This window comes from Homo sapiens, chromosome 5 (genome assembly GCF_000001405.40).
Source record: "Homo sapiens chromosome 5, GRCh38.p14 Primary Assembly".
Lineage (NCBI taxonomy): Eukaryota > Metazoa > Chordata > Mammalia > Primates > Hominidae > Homo > Homo sapiens.
The window spans coordinates 151,034,776-151,054,622 of record NC_000005.10 but is presented as its reverse complement, the minus strand read 5'-3'; the positions used below and the strand labels follow the sequence as shown (position 1 = coordinate 151,054,622).

At 49.3% G+C, this 19,847-nt stretch overlaps 1 protein-coding gene across 36 annotated transcripts in view, besides 1 other annotated feature; it reads left to right on the top strand.

The window, feature by feature from the left end:
- TNIP1 (TNFAIP3 interacting protein 1) overlaps window positions 1–19,847 on the top strand; it is a 57,743-nt gene that overhangs the window by 33,063 nt on the left and 4,833 nt on the right. For all 36 annotated transcript variants that reach the window (XM_047416625.1, XM_047416617.1, XM_047416616.1 and 33 more), the window contains 9 exons: window positions 2,364–2,458; window positions 4,676–4,799; window positions 8,673–8,762; window positions 11,662–11,727; window positions 11,952–12,083; window positions 15,398–15,526; window positions 17,702–17,833; window positions 18,916–19,041; window positions 19,556–19,621. In XM_047416625.1, the coding sequence (XP_047272581.1) occupies window positions 2,364–2,458; window positions 4,676–4,799; window positions 8,673–8,762; window positions 11,662–11,727; window positions 11,952–12,083; window positions 15,398–15,526; window positions 17,702–17,833; window positions 18,916–19,041; window positions 19,556–19,621 (960 nt within the window). The remainder of the gene's footprint in view (window positions 1–2,363; window positions 2,459–4,675; window positions 4,800–8,672; window positions 8,763–11,661; window positions 11,728–11,951; window positions 12,084–15,397; window positions 15,527–17,701; window positions 17,834–18,915; window positions 19,042–19,555; window positions 19,622–19,847) is intronic.
- Window positions 6,520–6,659: an enhancer, noted in NCBI's record as "active region_23429". NCBI's record gives its function as "activates an Ori minimal core promoter by ATAC-STARR-seq in GM12878 lymphoblastoid cells {active_cell/tissue: GM12878}" and the evidence as "EXISTENCE:reporter gene assay evidence [ECO:0000049][PMID:35858748]".

The window sequence follows — 19,847 nt, the reverse complement described above, 5'->3', positions numbered from 1 at the left end:
ACTACAGCCTTGACCTCCTGGGCTCAGTTCTCCCACCTCAGTTCCCTGAATAGCTGAGACTACATGCATGCGCCCTTATGCCTGGCCAATTTTTTGGTATTTTTAGTAGAGACAGGGTTTTGCCATGTTGCCCAGACTGGTGTTGAACTCCTGGGCTCAAGTGATCCTCCTGCCTCAGCCTCCCAAAGTGCTGGGATTACTGGTGTGAGCCACCATGCCCAGCTGGTTCTCTGTTTGCTAAGCCTCATCTCCCTCATTGTCCAGCCACCTCCAGTTGAAGGCTGTGTCCTCCATTCAGCCTTCCCAAGAGTCTCCTTTGTGAGTCAGAAATGAAACAACTCTGAAATCTCCCTGGGTTACACAACAAAAGTTTTCCCTCCTATTCTGTGTGGCAGGGGTTTGTTTCTGCTCTACACAGTTCCTTAGAGTCCCAGGGAGACAGGGGCCCAACTTTCCGGTGCCCTTTAGAATACGAGGCATCCACATCAGCCCCTGCTACCAGGAAAAAGAGACTGGAGAATTGTGCGTAGGCCAGTCCAGGAGTGATGCTTGTCCCTTCTACACCTCTTTTGTTGGCCAGAACTAGTCACATGGTTGCATCCACCTGCAACAGGCCTGGGAGGTGGAAGGCAGCAGATGGCTGTTTAGTGAATGGCCCTGGTCCTGGCCCAGCTCAAAGGCTGTCCCCTCCTTTGGGCACCATCTCTCTCCCTTCTCTGATCTTTCATCACAGGGGAAAGAGACACCAGTGTGGGGTCTGCCAATTGGAGTTTTACTCCCCGCCAGTGATGAGTCTTAGCAGCTGTGCACCTGTTAGACTGTATCATTTTACCTGGTTTCCCTACCTTTAACATAGAGATGAGTTACTTAGCTTTGAGGAAGTTGTGAGGCACCAGTGAGGCAGTATATGGAGAAACACCGAGCAATGTACCTGGCACAGGTGAGGTGCTCAGTGAGGATCTGTGGAAAGATTGAACAACTCTGTGCTGACACTGTATGCTAGCATTGCTAGTCAGCACCTTCCCTTCCCCCCAGCCTGTGAGGTCCTGAGTCTGGCGACCCCTCTTCCATGCCCCCAGTTCACAGAGCTTCCAATATGAGTCCCCGCACATAAGCAAGTGACTGATGGTTCATGGACACTTCCACTCTCACTGTCTCATCTGTCCCTCTCAGCAGCCCTATAGAGGAGGCAGAGAAGAAACAGTTGTCCCTGGGCTAGGTGTGGTGGCTCATGCCTGTAATCCCAGCACTTTGGGAGACTGAGGCAGGTGGATCACTTGAGGTCAGGAGTTTGATACCAGCCTGGCCAACATGGTGAAACCCCGTCTGTACTGAAAATACAAAAATTAGCCAGGCATGGTGGCACACACCTGTAGTTCCAGCTACTCAGGAGGCTGAGGCAGGAGAATCTCTTGAACCTGGGAGGTGGAGGTTGCAGTGAGCTGAGATCATGCTACTGCAGTCCAGCCTGGGCAACAGAGTGAGACTCTGTCTTAAAAAAAAAAAAAAAAAAAAAAAAAAGAGAAACAGTTGTCTTTCTTTTGTAGAGGAGGAACCAAGTGTCACAGCCACATTGTGAGGGCGTGAGGGCATAGTGAGGTCCCGACTGAATGCCTTGTCTTCTGGTTTTCCCCTTGGCAACACTGGGCACCTCTCACACCTGCAAATTGGTGTGCCTTTCAGCCCCCCTAGGACTCGCCTGCTCATTTGTCCATTTGCTCATTTGGCTGTTCAGTCATGTTGTTCCTTCCACAAACTTTGAGCTGGGGGCTGGGGATCTGGCAGTGAACAAGAGGATGGTTAGGGGTCCCAGCCCTCCGGGAGCTCAGGAATTAATTAGGGGTAAGGGGGTAGATATTAAGAAAACAGCAGCACGAACAGTTCTTTAGCTTTATCTGCCACAGGTGCTGAGAAGCGTAAAAGCGGGGGGCTGTGAGCAAGGATAACGGAGTTAGCCTAATGTAGCTGGATCGGGGAGTCAGGGAGGACTTCTCTGAGGAGATGGGATTTAAACTAAGACTTCAAAGAAGGGTAGAAGTCAGCTGGGGGAGGCTGGTGGGGAATAGGGGTCCCGGCAGTGGGAGCAGGGATGAAGGAGAAGGGATGGAGCTGTCTGTCTTGGAGGAGCAGAAGGCCCCATGGCTGATACTTGGTCAGGCTTCTCCGTAGTTGGCTCCCAAGGGAGAGGACACGTGGGTGGCCAAGTGGCTTAGCTCCTTAGAGAGGGATGGGGTGAGGCCAGGCAAAGGGGATAAGGAGTTGGGCCCTGGGGTGGCTACAGGCCCCCCACCATCCTCTAGCTCAGCCTGCACCTGGGAGGGGCCCCTCCTTTCCCTCACCCTGTCTGTTCCCCTGCCCCACAGACCCTGTGTGAGCAGCTTCGGAAGGAGAACGAGGCTCTGAAGGCCAAGTTGGATAAGGGCCTGGAACAGCGGGATCAGGCTGCCGAGAGGCTGCGGTAAGTTCAGGCCCCTCAGAGAAGGGGTGAGGAGTGGGGGCTGCAGGAGGAGGGGCTGGTGTGCAGCACTGATTTCTGGGTTGAGGACCGTGGCTCTGAGGCCCTGTGCCCAGAGCCCTATTTGGAGGTTACGTCTCTTGATCCTTCTCCTTGGCTCTTTTGGTATTTTCTCTCTGGCCCTTTTGCCACCTTGGGAGGTGTATAGAGTGCCTTGAGAGCTTCAGAAGAAGGTCAGCATAGATTGTACTTCCTTCCTCCTCCAGCACTTGCCTCTCTCCCCTGTTAACGGTGAACTGGCTGTCCAGAGGACTCAGGACTTTGCTGCCTCCTGCTGGTCACCATCCCAACCTGCTCTGTCTTCCTGAGAACATGAGAGCTCCCCCACTGGACTAGGGGGCTTAGACTTAACTGAGGGTTGAGGGTCAGGGAAAGGCATTACAAGTTTATACGCCTTCCCTTCCTTCCTTTGCAAGATTCTGAATTGACAGGTCTTAGGCAAGACCTAGGAGCCTGCATTTCACCAGGAGTCTCTGTGATTATGAACGAGGTAGGCACAGGATCACGCCTTGGGAAACACTGATCTTGACTGTCAGAGCTTGACAAGCCCTTGGAGATCATGCAGACAGACCTCTCACTGTGCAGAGGGGAAACTGAGGCCCAGGGAGAGGCAGGGACTTGATTGGAGTCTTACAACAGGAACTTGGGCCTCCTTGCTCTCCATCCTGTGAGTGGCCACAATTCCTGCCTGCACTGTGGTCCTGGACAGTTTGGGTGATGAGTCATCTGGTGGGTACCAGCTGGGCTCAGGCACATAGGAAAGGCCCGTGTCACAGACAGGACTTGCCACTCTGTTTTTCCCTCCTCTCCTGTTTCTTATTAGAATCAACAGAAAGAGAAGGAATATAAACTTTGTAAGTATGGCCACAGAAGTAATGTTTAACTACTGAGCCACTGGCTATTTTGAATCAGTGTGTAATTTATTTGCTTTTGGATGGCCAAGGATGCACTTTTGGGGTTTTTATAGCCCTAGTGACCCCATCCATGGATTCAGAAACTGAAGCTGGGGAAAAAAGTCACGGATTAGAAGGCAAGAATGCAAGTCTCTGCTGTATGACCTTGGGAAAGTCATTTTACTTATTGGTTTTTCAAGCGGAAACTCAGCTGGCAAATAGAACATAAAGAAGTGGTGGTTGGGCGTTGTGGCTCACACCTGTAATCCCAGCACTTTGGGACGTTAAGGCGGGAGGATTGCTTTGAGTCCATGAGTTTGAGACCAGCCTGGTGAAATACATCACCACCCCTCCCCCAGCCCCAACAAAAAATACCAAAAAAATTAGCTGGGTGTGGTGGTGTGCCTGTAGTCCCAGCTACTCAAGAGGGTGGGGGTGTGTGGTGGGGGAGGTTGGGGGTGGCTGAGGTGGGAGGATTACTTGAGTAGGAGCAGTCGAGGCTGTGGTGAGCCGAGATTGGGCCACTGTACTCCAGCCTGGGTGACAGAACGAGACCCTATCTCAAAAAAAAGAAAGAAGAAACATTTTAGTCAGACCTGAATCCACATCACTAATTTTATGATCTCCTCTATCACCTGCCTTATTAGTTACTTAGAATTTTACTTTAATTTGATTCATCTTTTTACTTAAAATTATAAAGGCAACTTTAACTAGAGTAAATGGAAAACAGCATTACCTGTGATAAATAGAAGATAACTCTAAATACAATGAAAGTGAAAGGATGTTAATAAATTCAGGCTAAGGATCATTGCACATTGAAGGCTCTGGGCCTGCAGCCTGCACCTTCTGTGTTAACGAGGGAAACTGGCGAGTAACTAGAGAGGTGCCCAGGGCCTGTTAGCACCAAGCTCGCACCGTCTCCGTGGTCTACACAAGAAATGTGAAGATAATTGGAAAGGGTGTCACTTTCTCACTAGAATGTGATCCAGGGTTATTTAATGCAGTGTTTGGATATATCCGGAAGGTCTTGTGTGCATAGAAATTCCACAGCTGGGGAAACCCTGCCATTGACAATCAGAGACCTCCACAGATTGAGAGCAAGGTAGCTGAAGATGCCCTTTTTGGTTTTCCAGGAGGGCAGGTTTCAGGATCCTGCAGTACTCCCTGGGGCTCAGCTGCAACTCATGCGATAGTGAGCATTAAGGAGCCCTGTAGGTTTCTTAACTCAGGGTCAGCATTGTGATTTCTCTGTTTACCTCCATCCCAGGGAGGAAAATTTGGAGCTCAAGAAGTTGTTGATGAGCAATGGCAACAAAGAGGGTGCGTCTGGGCGGCCAGGCTCACCGAAGATGGAAGGGACAGGCAAGAAGGCAGTGGCTGGACAGCAGCAGGTATGTGGTCAGAAATTCCTTCTGTAGCATCCTTGGTTGCAGGTACTCAGCCTCTGCTTACCACCTCCAGTGACAGTGAGCCTCCTCCCTCCTGCAGCCAGTGCCAGTGGTAGAAGGTTCTAGCTGTTACGTGTTTTTTTCTTTACTTGGCCTGACCTCCATGCTTAGAGGCTGCTGGTAGTCACTGTGGCTTCATGGGCCTCATAAGCCTTCTCTTCTCCTGGCTAAATAGCTCCAGTTCCTTCAGCCATTGCTCATAGAAGGTGGTGTTGAGTCGTTTGCTCAGTCTGGGTGCATTCCGTAAACACATTCCAGTTTGTCAAGGTCTGTCTTAGAGAGTGGTTCCCAAAAGTCAGTTTAACATCTTTGATATTCCTGGCAGAATTAGGTTGGTTGAGCAAGCTCCCTTGGATTCTGCTAAGCTCCTGGGATTGTGTCTCTGGAGCCTCTAAAGTGGAGAGGGGAGGGTGTTGGCTAGTGTCTGTGTGGTCTGGTGATGCTGCAGGGCTGGCCCACTCCCCTATCCTCTAGTCCCAGCACTGGCCACATCCAGGTCCCAAGCAGGAGCAGACTCTGCACCCCTTGCCCAGTCGTTACCATTCCCCTTGCTGCAGAGCTGAGTCCCAACTCTTTACCAACGTGTTTTTACTTCACCCTTTAATGGGGTTTAATAGCTGAACAGTAGGGCTCAATGTCTTTAACCCACCCTACACCTATGCAATAGTAGCAATTACCGTAATGGCTTAATTCCTTATTACTGTGTGACAATGTAGAGTTTACCCAGGACATGCAAATCTATTTTCTTATTTGGGCCTCATCTCTACCTATAGAGTAGGCAAGGCTGGGACTAGTATTCCATTCTATAGCTATGGCCATAGGTTTGGAGAGGTCAAGTAACATCATATAATCAGGATTTCTGTGTGACCTGCTATCAGGCAGATGTAGGGTACGGCCAGGGAAACATGCTGATAAATGGTGAAAGTCTGCTCTTCCCTGGTGTTCCGAATCCCAGCCCATGGAGATCCTCTTTTCTTCCCTTTATTCCCCAAATCAGATCCGGCCTTGTCTGCCCTCTTGTGGAAGGGACTTGTAGACTCGGCTGTTCTCCCTTGGGTTCTCTGAGCTGCCTCAGGTGTGGAATTCCCTGGACAGGTCTCTTTACTTTTCCTGTGCCCTTTAATCTCCACTCGTCTTCCTTGAATGCCCCGAGCCAGATGCTCTTCCTGCCCTTCCTGAGAGTGGGAGCGACTTGCCCTTGTGCCCCAGGGTCACCTGTCTCATTAGAGGCATGTGTTACAGAGGGGCGACGAGTGTGCCTTGGAATTGCATGCAGGTGGAATACTAGCTCCACCTTTTACCAGCACTGCAACCTTGGGTAAGTCACATAAGACTCCTAGGCCTCAGTTTCCTCTGTAAAATGAAGATAGTAACACCTGCCTCAAGGGGTGGTTGTGAGGATTCAGTGATGCAATGCTTGTAAAGTAGGTTTAGCGTCGTAAACAGTGAACGTTAGCTGTTGCTCTTTAGGGGAGATTTGGGGCCAGCAGCCAGCTCTGCTGACTCCACGTGGACTCCTCTCTCCCTCGCGGAGGTTCAGGGTGCACCACCCTAGAGCCTGGAATCCACCCTCTTCCTCCTTCCCCGGTAACTTGTTGACCTTTTTGCTAAGCACAGCTCCCATCCAAGATGCCGCAGATTTCAAGTGGGCAGGCCTGTCTGTCCCCTTTCTCAAAGGGGGTGACCTTCCTTGGAGGGCTCCCCCTCACCTTGCTCCTTGGTGCTATGGTGTGCTTACAGGCCTGAGCCTGTAGGGGGCAAGCTCTGCACCCAGCCCTACCTGAAGCCACTTGGGGGTGCAGTGTGGAGGGAAAGAGAACGCTGGAAAGAGAACGCTGAGAATAGAGAGAATCTGACTCCAGGATGATGGCAGACAATGTCAGAAGTCCGGATGGGGCCTGCAGACCTTCTTCTGTTTGAGCTTCTCATCGCATTGAAGCCCAGAGAAGACGAGGGTCTTGGTGTCCATCACAGAGGGGCTTGGAGATAGAGTCGACACACACCCTCCGGACTACTGGCCTTGTCTGCTGTTTCACCCCAGCACTTGCTATTTTTTTTTTTAACCTTTAAACCTTTTTATTTTGGTATAACTAGACTTACAGAAGAGTTGCAAAAATAGTCTAGAGAGTTCCCCTATCCCCTTCCTTTACTTCCCCTAACGGCAACATCTTATAGAACCCAGGTTAAATGATCAAAACTAGGAATTAATGGCATGTACTACTTAGTAAACTACAGACTTTATTCAGATTTCACCAGATTTGCACTCATGTCCTGTCGTGTGCCAGCATGGAGTCTGGGATCCCACATTGCATTCAGTTGTCTCTTCTCCCTCATTTTCCTCTAGTCTGTGACAGTTCCTAGCTGTTCCTTGCTTTTCATGACCTTGAAACTTTTGAGTTGTACTGGCCAGTTATTTGTAGAATGTTTTTCAGTATAGACTTATTTGCTGTCACGATTGAGGCCTCACAAGTGATTGGATCTCATGAGGAGATTGAGGTTACGTGTTTTGGCAAGAATCTCACGGAGGTGACGTTCTGTGTACATCAGAGTGTGCAGAATATTTCTCAGTCCAGCAGACCAGGGGTACATGATGTCAGTGTTTTACTACTGTTAACCTTCATCACTTGGCCAAGTGCTGTCTTTCAAGTTTCTGCAATCAAGTGACCAATTTTCCCTTTGTAATTAATAAGTGTTTATTTTTGAGGAGAAACTTAGAGACTATGCAAATACTCTATTTTTTCTTAAACTTTCACTCACTGATTTTAGTGACCATTGGTGGATCTCCACCTGCAGCAGTTATTACTGTAGTAATGGAATGGTGATTTCATATTTTCCTCATTCTTCCTACACTTATTAATCAGAATTCTTTTGTAAGGAAGAGCTGTCCCTTCTCCCCCATTTATTTATTGATTCAGCTATTTTGTTCTATCAGTATGAACTCAAGAGTATTTATTTCATACTGTGACTTATAATCCAATACTATTGTGATGTATTTTGCTGTTCAAAGTGTTCCCGTTTTGGCCATAGATGTTTTTTTCAGGTTGTCTCTTGTGCCCTTTTGACATGCTCTTTTATTATTATTGTTATTAGTATTATTCATTTGAGCACTTCCTTACTTTCCATCACTATAAGATGCATCAAACTCACCTTATATTTTATCTGCTCCAGCCCCTCAAAGCAGCCCTGTTTCTTTTTAATAAAAAGAAAATGGTATTTAGAAACCAACTGAGCACTAGGTTTGCTCAGTGCTGCTGGATGTCTCTGCTTTAGCCCCTTACAGAGGACAGAGCTGGGAAACATCTATGTGTATTACACAGATCTTTATTTCTGCATCTTTCTAAAAATGTTTTTAAATAAACATTTTATATAACTTCAACTTTTGTAAAAGTTTTATAAAACATATATGTTTTATAGAATGAGTATATCTATATCTATATCTGTCTGTATCTACATCTCAAATGTCTTACCTTCCAGGCCAGAGAGTTTTTTGGCTGATGTGTGTAGGGAGTGAGGAGAGTGGCTGGTAGTACCTTAGAGGTTGTACCTAAACAGGGAGAATGACCGTAGGGAGGGGAGAAGGGAAGGGGAGAGGGCCTGGCAGCCACCCTGAGTCAGGGAGGGGGAATCATCATCTTGTAGACTTCTAGAAGGGGACGTAGTCATGACTGGGATGGTTAGTGGTGTCCTGCTGGGTGGGAGGAATAGGGAGACAGAGGGCTGGGGCCACTTGGGTGAGGGGTCTTAGAGGAGCACCGAGACTGGGTGAGATAATTTGTATTGAGGTTTTGGTGAAGGCTCCTCTGTGCTTCTCCCCAGGCTAGTGTGACGGCAGGTAAGGTCCCAGAGGTGGTGGCCTTGGGCGCAGCCGAGAAGAAGGTGAAGATGCTGGAGCAGCAGCGCAGTGAGGTAGGTGGCCGAGGTGGCAGTAGTGGGAGGATCCCTCTTACCTCCCGGGACCAGCAGCACAAAGGCTTGCCCTGGCCTCCTGGCTCTGGCAGGTCCCAGGTCACCATGAGGAGTTGGCATGGTGACCACTGACCTGCCTGCCCATGGATGAGGTCTGACTCCTTGCCCTGGACTGTCCTCTCTTGATCAGTCCCTTTGCCTACAGTGGTCACTCTGAGGAGGTGGCATGTGGGGCATGGCCTAAAATTGTTGGGGCTACAGTTTAGGCAGGCTCCTATGGTAGACCTTGGATGGTGGAAAGAGGTTGTGATAAGTTAGGCAAGTTTTAGCATCACCGATGAGGAGTGGAGGGACCCTTGAGAGATGCTTTAGGGAGGACCCATCATGGAAGGAAGGGATTAAGGCCGCTTCCCACTAGCCTGGAGGCTCCATAAATTTACTGTCAAAATTTTTAACGTTAAAAGCTACCTTGGCTGGGTGCGGTGGCTCATGCCTGTAATCCCAGCACTTTGGGAGGCTGAGGCGGGTGGATCACCTGAGGTCAGAGGTTCGGGACCAACCTGGCCAACATGGCGAAACCCTGTGCCTACTAAAAATACAAAAAATTAGCGGGCATGGTGGCACATGCCTGTAATCCCACCCACTCAGACTGAGGCAGGGAGAATTACTTGAACCCGGGAGGCTGAGGTTGCAGTGATCCGAGACCGTGCCACCGCGTGCCAGCCTGGGCAACAGAGCAAGACCCCATCTCAAAAAAAAAAATAGCTACCTACCTCTATTGGTGTAGCTACTTTGCAGATATTTTGAGACTCCCATTTCAAGAATTTTCTTAGGCAAGAATGAAAAGGACCAGCCAGCAGCCGAAGCCTGCCACAGAATACTGAGTGGATTCCTAAACTCCATTAAGGCGATGGCCAGGTCTTTAGGTAGTTTAAATGTCCCCCAGTCCCACTAAGGTGCAGGAGCCAGTTCGTAAGAGGCTCTTAGTTTCCCTCTGCTGCCAAGAGAGAAGCCACGCAGCAGAGTCCCTGTGCTGCAGTCCATTCCGCCTCTTCCCATGGATCTCACATGTGTTCCTCCCCCTCCTCACACCCCCAGTCTAGTCCAGTCTTTCCAGACCCGAGGTCGAAGTGCAGCTCCTTTTTGGTAGACACTTGTTCTGTCTGTTCCGTCTAGCCCCTCTCCACACAGCCCAGGTGCTTCTCTAGAACCCTGAGCCTGCCTCCCCTTGTCCTCCCGCACATTTGAAAGCTTCTTGATGTGCATATTAGTTTTAGATTTCTTTTTGTATTGTTATAAGCGTCTTTTTTTCTGATTTCAAAAGTGATATAATGCTCATTACAAAAAGATCAAGAATACCACCTCCTAGAGAAAACCACAACTGATTACAGTTTGTTGAATATCCCTCAGTTTTTTTCAAAGTAGAATAAAATTATACATATACGTGTGTGTATATATATGTATATACACACACTGCTTTACAGATTATTTTTTCTTTTCTTTTTTAAAAAATTAACTGGGTCAGGCGTGGTGGCTCACACCTGTAATCCCAGCACTTTGGGAGGCTGATGCAGGAAGATTACTTGCAACCAGGAGTTTGAGACCAGCCTGGGCAACATAGCAAGACCCTGTCTCTACAAAAAATAAATTAGCTGGGTGTGGTAGTACACACCTGTAGTCTCGGCTACTTGGGGGAGCTGAGGTGGGAGGATCACTTGAGCTCAGGAGGCTGCAGTGAGCCATGATCATACCACTGCACTCCAGCCTAGGCCTGCCTCCAAAAAAAAAATTAACTGCCTTTGAGAGTATCTATTCATATCTATAACATATGCTATATTCCTTTAATTCTTTGTAATTTTTTTTATCATATGCAATGTTTTTGAAATTGGTGTGGATCCTTATGACATATCTTAAGGGGCAGGGCCAATACTCCTTTTGTTTTATTTAGTTGATGATGTAGGGTTGTTTTTCTTCCCTGAGGAATTGTTATATCAAGAGTATGGTGGATAGTGTCATCTTCAAACTGAGGAAGTGTGTTAGGTGCTTTATTTTCTGTTTTCTTTTTTTCTTTTCTTTTTTTTTTTTAAGATAGGGTCTCACTTTGGTTGCCCAGGCTAGAGTGCAGTGCCATGATCTCGGCTTACTGCAGCCTCCACCTCCTAAGTTCAGGTGATCCTCCCATCTCAGCCTCCTGAGTAGTTGAGACTATAGATGCGTGCCACCATGCCCGGCTAAATTTTGTATTTTTTGTAGAGATGGGGTTTTGCCATATTCTCCAGGCTGGTCTCAAACTCCTGAACTCAAGCAATTGGCCCACCTTGGCCTCCCAGAGTGCTGGAATTATAGGCATGAGCCACTGTGCCTGGCGGCCTATTTTCTTATTTTCTTAACAGCTGCACATTGTCTGTTTATACTATCGTTTCTTTAACCTATCTTCTGTGCTTAGATTGGCCTCTGGATTTTTTTGTAATACAGGTATTGCTGAGATGATTAGCCTTGTGTATATATATTTGCACACTTGTGTAAGTGTTTCTATTGGTTAAATTCTTCAGAGTGGAATTATTGGGTTAAAGTTGATGAAAATGTGAAATTTCAATACATAATCCCAGACTGCCCTCCAAAGAGGTGTGTGTGTTCCATAATTATTCACCAAAACTATGTAGTTTCCATGTCTTAGTGTTAATCTTGCTTTCCTGGCAAGGTAAAATGCAGCAGTGGATGAAGGTGGATGGCTTTGAGCAACATTGAGTTTTCGAGAGCTGAGGGATGGAGACAGTGTCTGTAGCCACTATTCACACACACCGAGCACACCTTGGGACGCTGGTGTACATGGGGCAGGAGATGGCTCTCCTTGTTCCTTCTCTGCTCATCTCCTGCTAACTCCAGTCTCTCCCCACAGCTGCTGGAAGTGAACAAGCAGTGGGACCAGCATTTCCGGTCCATGAAGCAGCAGTATGAGCAGAAGGTAATGTGGGGTTCCTGGCCACGCCCACAGGGCATGCCTGGTCTTCATCTCGCTGCCTCTTTAGCAGCTTTGAACCTTGGGGAGTGGCCACGCTGAGCCCCAGTATGGCCCAGAGGAGAAGTTGGGGGCAGTGTTGGAGGGCCCAGGGGCAGCCAGGCCCTGCCCACATCCTGCAAGTGCTCTACATCCTTGCCTCACACACTCCTCTCTGCCTCTGAACCCAGATCACTGAGCTGCGTCAGAAGCTGGCTGATTTGCAGAAGCAGGTGACTGACCTGGAGGCCGAGCGGGAGCAGAAGCAGCGTGACTTTGACCGCAAGCTCCTCCTGGCCAAGTCCAAGATTGAAATGGAGGAGGCAAGTGTGACTGCTGGTCCCTGCAGAGTCAGTTCCCCTCCACATTAGCGGAGAGTTCTGTGGAGCAAACAAGCCAGGGGCAGGAGTCAGGAGACCCGGGGGTCTAGTGCGAAAGAGCTAGGTGACCAAAAACACAGGCACGTTCCTTCCCTGCACTGCAGTTTCCCATCTGAAAATTGAGAAAGTTACATTAACTACAGCTTTTCACATTTTCTTGTTTTTATTCAGAACTTTTTGTTCCATTAAAATTGTAGGGAATGGGGAACTGTACAGGGAAGCACACCATATAAAAGATCTAAGCAGGTGGCCGGGCACGATGGCTCACAATCCTAGCAACTGGGGAGGCCGAGACGGGTGGATTACCTGAGGTCAGGAGTTCAAGATCAGCGTGGCCAACATGATGAAATCCCATCTCTACTAAAAATACAAAACTTAGCCAGGTGTGGCAGCAGGCACCTGTAATTCCAGCTACTCAGGTAGCTGAGGCAGGAGAATTGCTTGAACCTGGGAGGCGGAGGTTGCAGTGAGTCAAGATTGCACCATCGCACTCCAGCCTGGGGAACAAGAGTGAAACTCTTGCTAAAAAAAAAAAAAAAAAAGATCCAAGCAGGCCTGCTGTATGGCACTTGGTGGGGTGGGATGCTGCCAAGTGTTCAGCATAGTGATGGTGATTTGTTGGGGAGGGGCTACAACATGAGACAGAGCTTCATTTATCCATTCATCCCGGCATTTGTCTTCAGAGCCTGTCTCAGGCATTGTGCTTTGGCATAGAGTCCACAGGAACAGCTCAACCCTGCCCTCGCTGGGAAAGAGGTGCCAGACAACTAATTACAGAAGCAAATAAAGTAAAAGTGTGTTAAGTGTTGCAGAGAAGGCCGGGTTGGGTGGCTTGTGCCTATGATCCTGGCACTTTGGGATGCCGAGGTGGGAGGATTGCTTGAGGCCAGGAGTTTGAGACCAACCTCAGTGACATAGCCACACCTTGTCTCTACAAAAATTAAAAAATTCACTGGGTGTGGCAGTGTGCACCTGTAGACCTAGCTACTCAGGCTAATGTGGGAGGATTGCTTGAGCCCAGGAGTTGGAAGCTTCAGTGAGCTGTGATTGTGCCACTGCACTCCAGACTGGACAACAGAGTGAAACCCTGTTTCTCTAAAAGAAAAATGTATGGCCAGGCATGGTGGCTCATGCCTGTAAACACAGCATTTTGGGAGGCCAAGGTGGGCGGATCACTTGAGATCAGGAGCTTGAGACCAGCCTGGCCAACATGGTGAAACCCCGTCTCTAATAAAAATACAAATATTAACTGGGAGTGGTGGCGCATGTCTGTAGTCCCAGCTACTCGGTAGACTGAGGCACGAGAATCGCTTGAACCCGGGAGGCGGAGGTTGCAGTGAGCTGAGATTGTGTCACTACACTCCAGCTTGGGCAACAGAATGAGACCCTGTCTCAAAAAAAAAAAAAAAAAGTACTACGAAGAAGAAGTTACAGAGATCAGAGAGTGGGCATAAGTGAGACCAGATTCTTTCTTGGGGGGAAACAACAGGTCCCCTGAAGTAGTAGTATCTGCCCAGTCATATGTATGAATGAGACCAGCCAAGGCCCATCAGGACCTTGGAGCAGCTTAAAGAGGAAAGGCCACTTGACTGCCAGACTCTTGGGAGATTTTATTTATGTCACCATGTTTTCCCCTTCATGGGAACTGGGCATGGTCTTTTGCCTAGCTTAAAAATGGACATTTTCAACCTGGATTGCCTTTCACAGTTCCTCCCGTCAGCATGGGACACCAGGGGCCTTATTTGAGCAGTCAGCCTACGTCTGTGACACCCCCTTACCTTGGAGGTGTGGTAGGGAGAACACTTCTGTCTTTCCTTATGAGTGCACAGTCATACCTGGTGACTCGCAGCCAGACATCCTGGCTCTTTGGCCCCTCTCCCTTGCTCACAGTGGTAGGTGAGACAAATCCCTGGAATGTGAGGGCTCTTCCCTGTCAGCTACAGGGAAGGTAGGACGTTTCATGACAAGGCGTGGCCCTGTAGATAAGGATGAATTTCGGTAAAGCCCATGCCCATCCGGGAGCCTCTTGATGGGGAGTCCAGAACAATTCCCAGGGAGGTCTGACCAAGCCTGCCCTCTGCAGTCCGTACTGACTAAAGGTCACACAGGGCTGGGTGAAAACTAACCCCTGCGACTGGTCTCTTAATCACATGCTGTGAATACACAGTTATGAAATGTCCACATGCTACAAAGTGAAAGTTTCCCTGGACTACCTCCCACTGCCATGATCCCAGGCCCTCCCTAGAGGGAACCACTGTTACCATTTTGGTGCATCTGTTTCCAGACCTTTCTCGCATATATGTACACATAGGAATATATAGTTTATTTGGGGATGTGCCTGGTCTTTCCACTGCACTGTGCTGCCATCCCCTAGTTTCAACACCTCCTTTGACATGGAAGGAGAGAGAGCAAGGGAATAGGAAACCTGGGTTCTAGCCCCAGCTCACTGTGTGGCCTTGGGTACGTCACTTCCCCTCTCTGGACATTTGTTTCCCATCGTATTACAGGGCTGGGGCTTGATGCTGTCTAAAGGCCATCCCAGTCTTGGCTGGCTGTGGCGAAGCCCTGCTGGTTCCGTAGAGGGTATGGAACCGCCTCCTGGAAGCCTTCCCTCAGCTGTGGTGATCTTTCTTTTAGCCCCACAGTATTTTGTTTCTTTCTGGAGGAGCACTCTCTGCCTTATGTCACAGTTCTCTCTGGGCGTGTCATCTCTCCTCTAGGCTCCAAGGCTGTATGAGCTGCAGTGTCTGTTAGGGATTATCCGTAGTTTATCGCTTTCTGTGGATCACGGAAGACCCCCATGTGAATCTGGTCAGAACTATGGCTTTTCTTTCTAGCAGATTACACACAACAAAATTTCGCATTCAGTTTTGGGGCTCACAGGCCTCCTGAGGTCTCTGTGTGACTCACGTTAGGAACCCCGTACCTGTGACAGGTAGGTAAGCTTAGACAAGAGAGGGCTGTGGCAGTGCCAGGGGTCTCAGCTGCTTAGTGGATGAACTGGTGTCGGAATCCAGGGTCTTTTACTCAACTGAGCTACTGCTTTTTCTTTTTTTAATTATTATTTTAAATTGACACATAATAATTGAGGGCAGGACCGGATGGACATTACTGTACCGACCCCAGGTGCTTTGCATGTGAGCATTGTGAAGTGATGGCCAGGGGAGAACGTAAGGGCTGGGCCAGGCAGGACAGAGAATCCGAGGCCTCCTGGAGAGGCCATCCTAGCCAGCTTACCAACCTTGTATTCCCTGCAGACCGACAAGGAGCAGCTGACAGCAGAGGCCAAGGAGCTGCGCCAAAAGGTCAAGTACCTGCAGGATCAGCTGAGCCCACTCACCCGACAGCGTGAGTACCAGGAAAAGGAGATCCAGCGGCTCAACAAGGTGGGTGCCTTGGCCCGGGTCCCTTGGCTGGGCTCCCTTGAGTCCAGCTGCAATGCCCACCCCATCACTGGCACCCCCAACCATTCAGCTTAGGAAGGGTAACCCCCAGTCAGTGAGCTGGCATCCTGTTTCCCGCCTGCTCTGCCATTGCCTCCCACACTGGGAGTGACTCAGCCCTTGAATTAGCCTGTGTCACCCTTCCCTCTGGAGGTGCACTCTTCCCCTTGTGCCTCACCTGCCCACCCTGCTTGTCAGGGTTTGTTTTACCCTCACTTGCTCAGCAAAGCCTTCCCAGAATCTCATTCAGGTTGCCCTGGTCTATGCTCCTGAGGTACCAGCAACTTCTCTGACACTCCTTCTCATGGCTCGTCATCACTTATTTAATTCTGTCTTCCCATCTGGTGGTGGGAGGTGCATACTTTCACCAAGGTGTATACCCTGGGCGCCTTGTACAGCGCCTGGCATCAAGCACATGTTCAGCAAACACTGATGGGAGTGGAGGAGCACGGGCTGAGGGGCCCGCCCTTGTGCAGTGGGATCCAGGGAGATGGGGCCCCCAGGGTAGAGGCTGAGGAAACCAGAAACCCTCTGGTCTGAGCCAAGCGGAGTGGTCTAGTCCCAGCTTAGCCTCTCCAGCCTCTCCAGTTCAGTTTTGCCATCCGAGCCCTGGTGGGAACGGCTCTAGTTCTGCCTGCTTTCCAGCACATTTCAAAGATGCAAGCTGACAGGAGGGAGCTTTGAAAGGAAACATTCTCTGAGGGCCTGGAGGAGTTAAGTTCATGGCTCAGCTTTTCGTTTCGTGCTAATTGTTTTTCCTTTCCCTCTGCCTCCTGACCCTGGTGACAGTGGACTCTGGCATGAGTTGAGCATTCCTAGGCCTGCTGGGGAAACCCTTTCTTTTTGGTTTTGGTGTTTTGTAAACACTGATTATGCCAAGTCTGGGGCCCTTGACCTGTTTCCAGAGAAAGAAACGCGATCTGTCCTGAGCTGGGGGACTTGGGGCTCTAAATCCAGGCAGAGAATTGTCCATGTTGCTGATCATAAAGATGACCTTGGAGGTTTTCTTGGCAGAGCCAGGGACAGACACCATGTGGATGAGTAATGCAGGGCATGTGGCCTTCTTTGCTCATGACCTAGGCATCTCCCTGTCGCTGGACCTCAGTCTTTTCATTTAAAAGTGGGGTGGAGTAGGAAGATAAAGTGGAGCCATAACTTCCCCTCGGAGCATCCTGAATTTACTCTCGGTCCTGCAGTTTCTTTGCGTGTCTAGGGGAGCTGAGGAGACCAGGTGGAAGCCCGAGTCCAAGTTGGGCCAGGTCTCTATCTCCCCTCGGTCCAGGGAGGCCCATGGGCGATGCTGTCCTGGGGCCAAAGTCCAGGGTGCCCAGTCTTGAGACATGTTCCAGAGTTCTGAGTAACATGTTAACAGAGTTAAAGGGGAAACACGGTTAACTGAAACCTTTAAGAAGATGTGGGCACACTGTTTATATAATCTATTGTGAACATGATAGATTAAGAGTATTTTTTTATTTTCAAAATGTTATTTGATGATATTTCAGCCCATTTTCAGTGTTAGAAAGGGAAAATATTAACTAAGCAGAAATTAAATCCAGTCTTCTCTATGTACATAAGTGTTGAGGATGGAAGGGGTGGTTTGGATGGGAATGGGTTGCTGAAAGTGAAGAATCTCAGGGCAGGGCAGTTGTTGGGGAGACTGAAGCTTCCCCCGGAGGACTTAATCTTCCTTCTAGGTCTGGGTGCTAAGAATTGAGCCACACATGTTCAGGGAAGGGGAGGTTTCCCCTTCTGCATGACAACCCCAGTTTAGCCTGCTGGGTAGGAGCATGTGCTGGGCTTGAATCTGTGCTCTGCCACTTACTAGCTGTGTGACCTTGACCTTGGACAAGCCCCTTCAGGTCTCTGAGCCTCAGTTTTCACATCTGTAAAATGAGGATGATGATCATAGTCTTTTCTTCATGGCACTGTGCAGAAGATCCAATGAAATGATATGTGTAGAATGCAAATAAATAGGGCAGCATTTATTAAATAGGACTGGTAGTGGTGGCTATTATTAGTATGATTATTATTAGGAAGGAGTTCCCTGAGGATGACCCCTCCAAAGGGCCCTGATTTCCAGGGGTTCCTGCTGATGGTCCCATCTTTTCCTGATTCCAGGCCCTGGAGGAAGCACTGAGCATCCAAACCCCGCCATCATCTCCACCAACAGCATTTGGGAGCCCAGAAGGAGCAGGGGCCCTCCTAAGGAAACAGGAGCTGGTCACGCAGAATGAGTTGCTGAAACAGCAGGTGAGGCTTCCGGGAGGAAATCAGGTGGGAGGTGCTCTGTGGGAGCTGGAGCTTTCCTGAGGGCCCAGACGGCTTGGAATCACATGGAACCTGTAATTAGTAATCCACTTTCTGGCCATTGGCCAGGGCCCCCCACTGGCTCTAGGTTTATCCTTTCCAGCACCATAACCCTAGCTTAAGTCGTTCCTCTACCACCTTTATGATTTAGCCATCTCTATGCCCCACACGTGCTATTATTTACCTAGTATTTAAAAAATAAATTCTAAATAAATGAATTTAAAAGGGAGCTTTATATCACTGCTGTAATTGGAAAAAACCATTTATTATTTGTCACAAGTAGAAAGTAACTGTACGCAATAAACAATAAAAACAGAACAATGTTATTAAACTCTAGCCGGATACTCTTGCCAAATGAAGACTCTGAACTGGAGTTCTTTTCTCCTTTATTTAAAGGAGATTGGCAGGTACTAAAATGGTATTAAAGACCTACTAGCCCTGAGGGACACAGAAGGATTGGGGTGAAAGAAAGCGAAAAGGTTGTGGCTCTCCCATTGTCTCTGTGCTATTTAATCCTCCTAAACTGCCTTGAACCTAGCCAGTGTCTCAGCTGATCTGCACTAAGGATGTGAAACTACAGGCTAAGAGACAGAGGCAGGCCCCACCCAACCCACCTCTGCCAGGGCACCCTGGAGCCCTAGCGGAGTTTGTAGGGTCTCTGCCCTCAGAACCAGCAGATCCAAACTCTGGTCTACACCACACTCTGGTTCTGTGATCACTGCCCCTGTGGGTCTCAGCGGAGTGAAAGGATTGCACTGGTTGATGGCTTTCAACGTTTTTTTAAAACCATATATCCTTTGTTCAAATAAAGTCCTAGCTTGAAGCCCAGAATGTAAGATAGAGGGACACAGAACTACTCTGTTTGAAGTTAAGGTGGAGGCTGGAGGTGTAGCTGTCCCACTCCCCATGGCGACCCCCAGCTCTGCCATCTGTGACCCCAGCAGGAGGCATGGGAGTCTGGGCCTGAGGAGAAATCCCCACTCAGGACCATCCCCCTCCCTCTCTTCACCCTCCCTCCACACCAGGTGAAGATCTTCGAGGAGGACTTCCAGAGGGAGCGCAGTGATCGTGAGCGCATGAATGAGGAGAAGGAAGAGCTGAAGAAGCAAGTGGAGAAGCTGCAGGCCCAGGTCACCCTGTCAAATGCCCAGGTAAGAGTGACTGGACCCAGGAAGGGCAACTGGCCTGTCCTCGTGGGGAGAGGGGGCATGGATTGGAGGGCCCTGGTGAGGCTGGATGTCAGGACCCTCACTGCTTCTCTCCAGCTCTGCAATCATATTTGAGCTCGGCAAGGCCCTTCCCCTCTCTGACTCTTTCTTTGTACAATTACGAGTTTTACTCTAAGATATCTCTACCTCTGACTTTCCACAGTCAGTTCTGGGCTTTACTCTCCCAGAGTGGAACTAAAAGATGTTAGCAGAGAAGCAGCGAGGTTCACGTGAACCCTCTTGACCTGTGCACAGACCACTGTGACAAGCAGGTGGCCTGCAGCAACAGCCTGGGCTGTGCTCCGCCCTCAGGGCCCTTTCCCGGGGCTGGCCCACGCATGGTGGCCCAGAGGGAAGCATCAGCCGGTCAGTCCTCGTGGCTGGTTAGGCCCTGGATCCAGGCCTGGCCAGAAACCACCTGTGCCGACAGTCTTTTCTCCCTCCCTTCTTCTCTCAGCTAAAAGCATTCAAAGATGAGGAGAAGGCAAGAGAAGCCCTCAGACAGCAGAAGAGGAAAGCAAAGGTGAGGAGGCTTGAGGGAGGTAGCAGCACTGACATCCTCTTACCTTCCTCATGGAGCTAGCCTGATGGATGCACAGTGTGTGCTCGGGCGTGGGGACATCCTCTGCTAACTAACTGATGAGTAATACAGGAAAAGCCTTAGAGCAGTATTGGTACAGAGGCAGTGCCCACAATGTATTAGCTGTCATCACTGTTGACATTCTGTGTCCAGGTAGCAACCTTCCGTG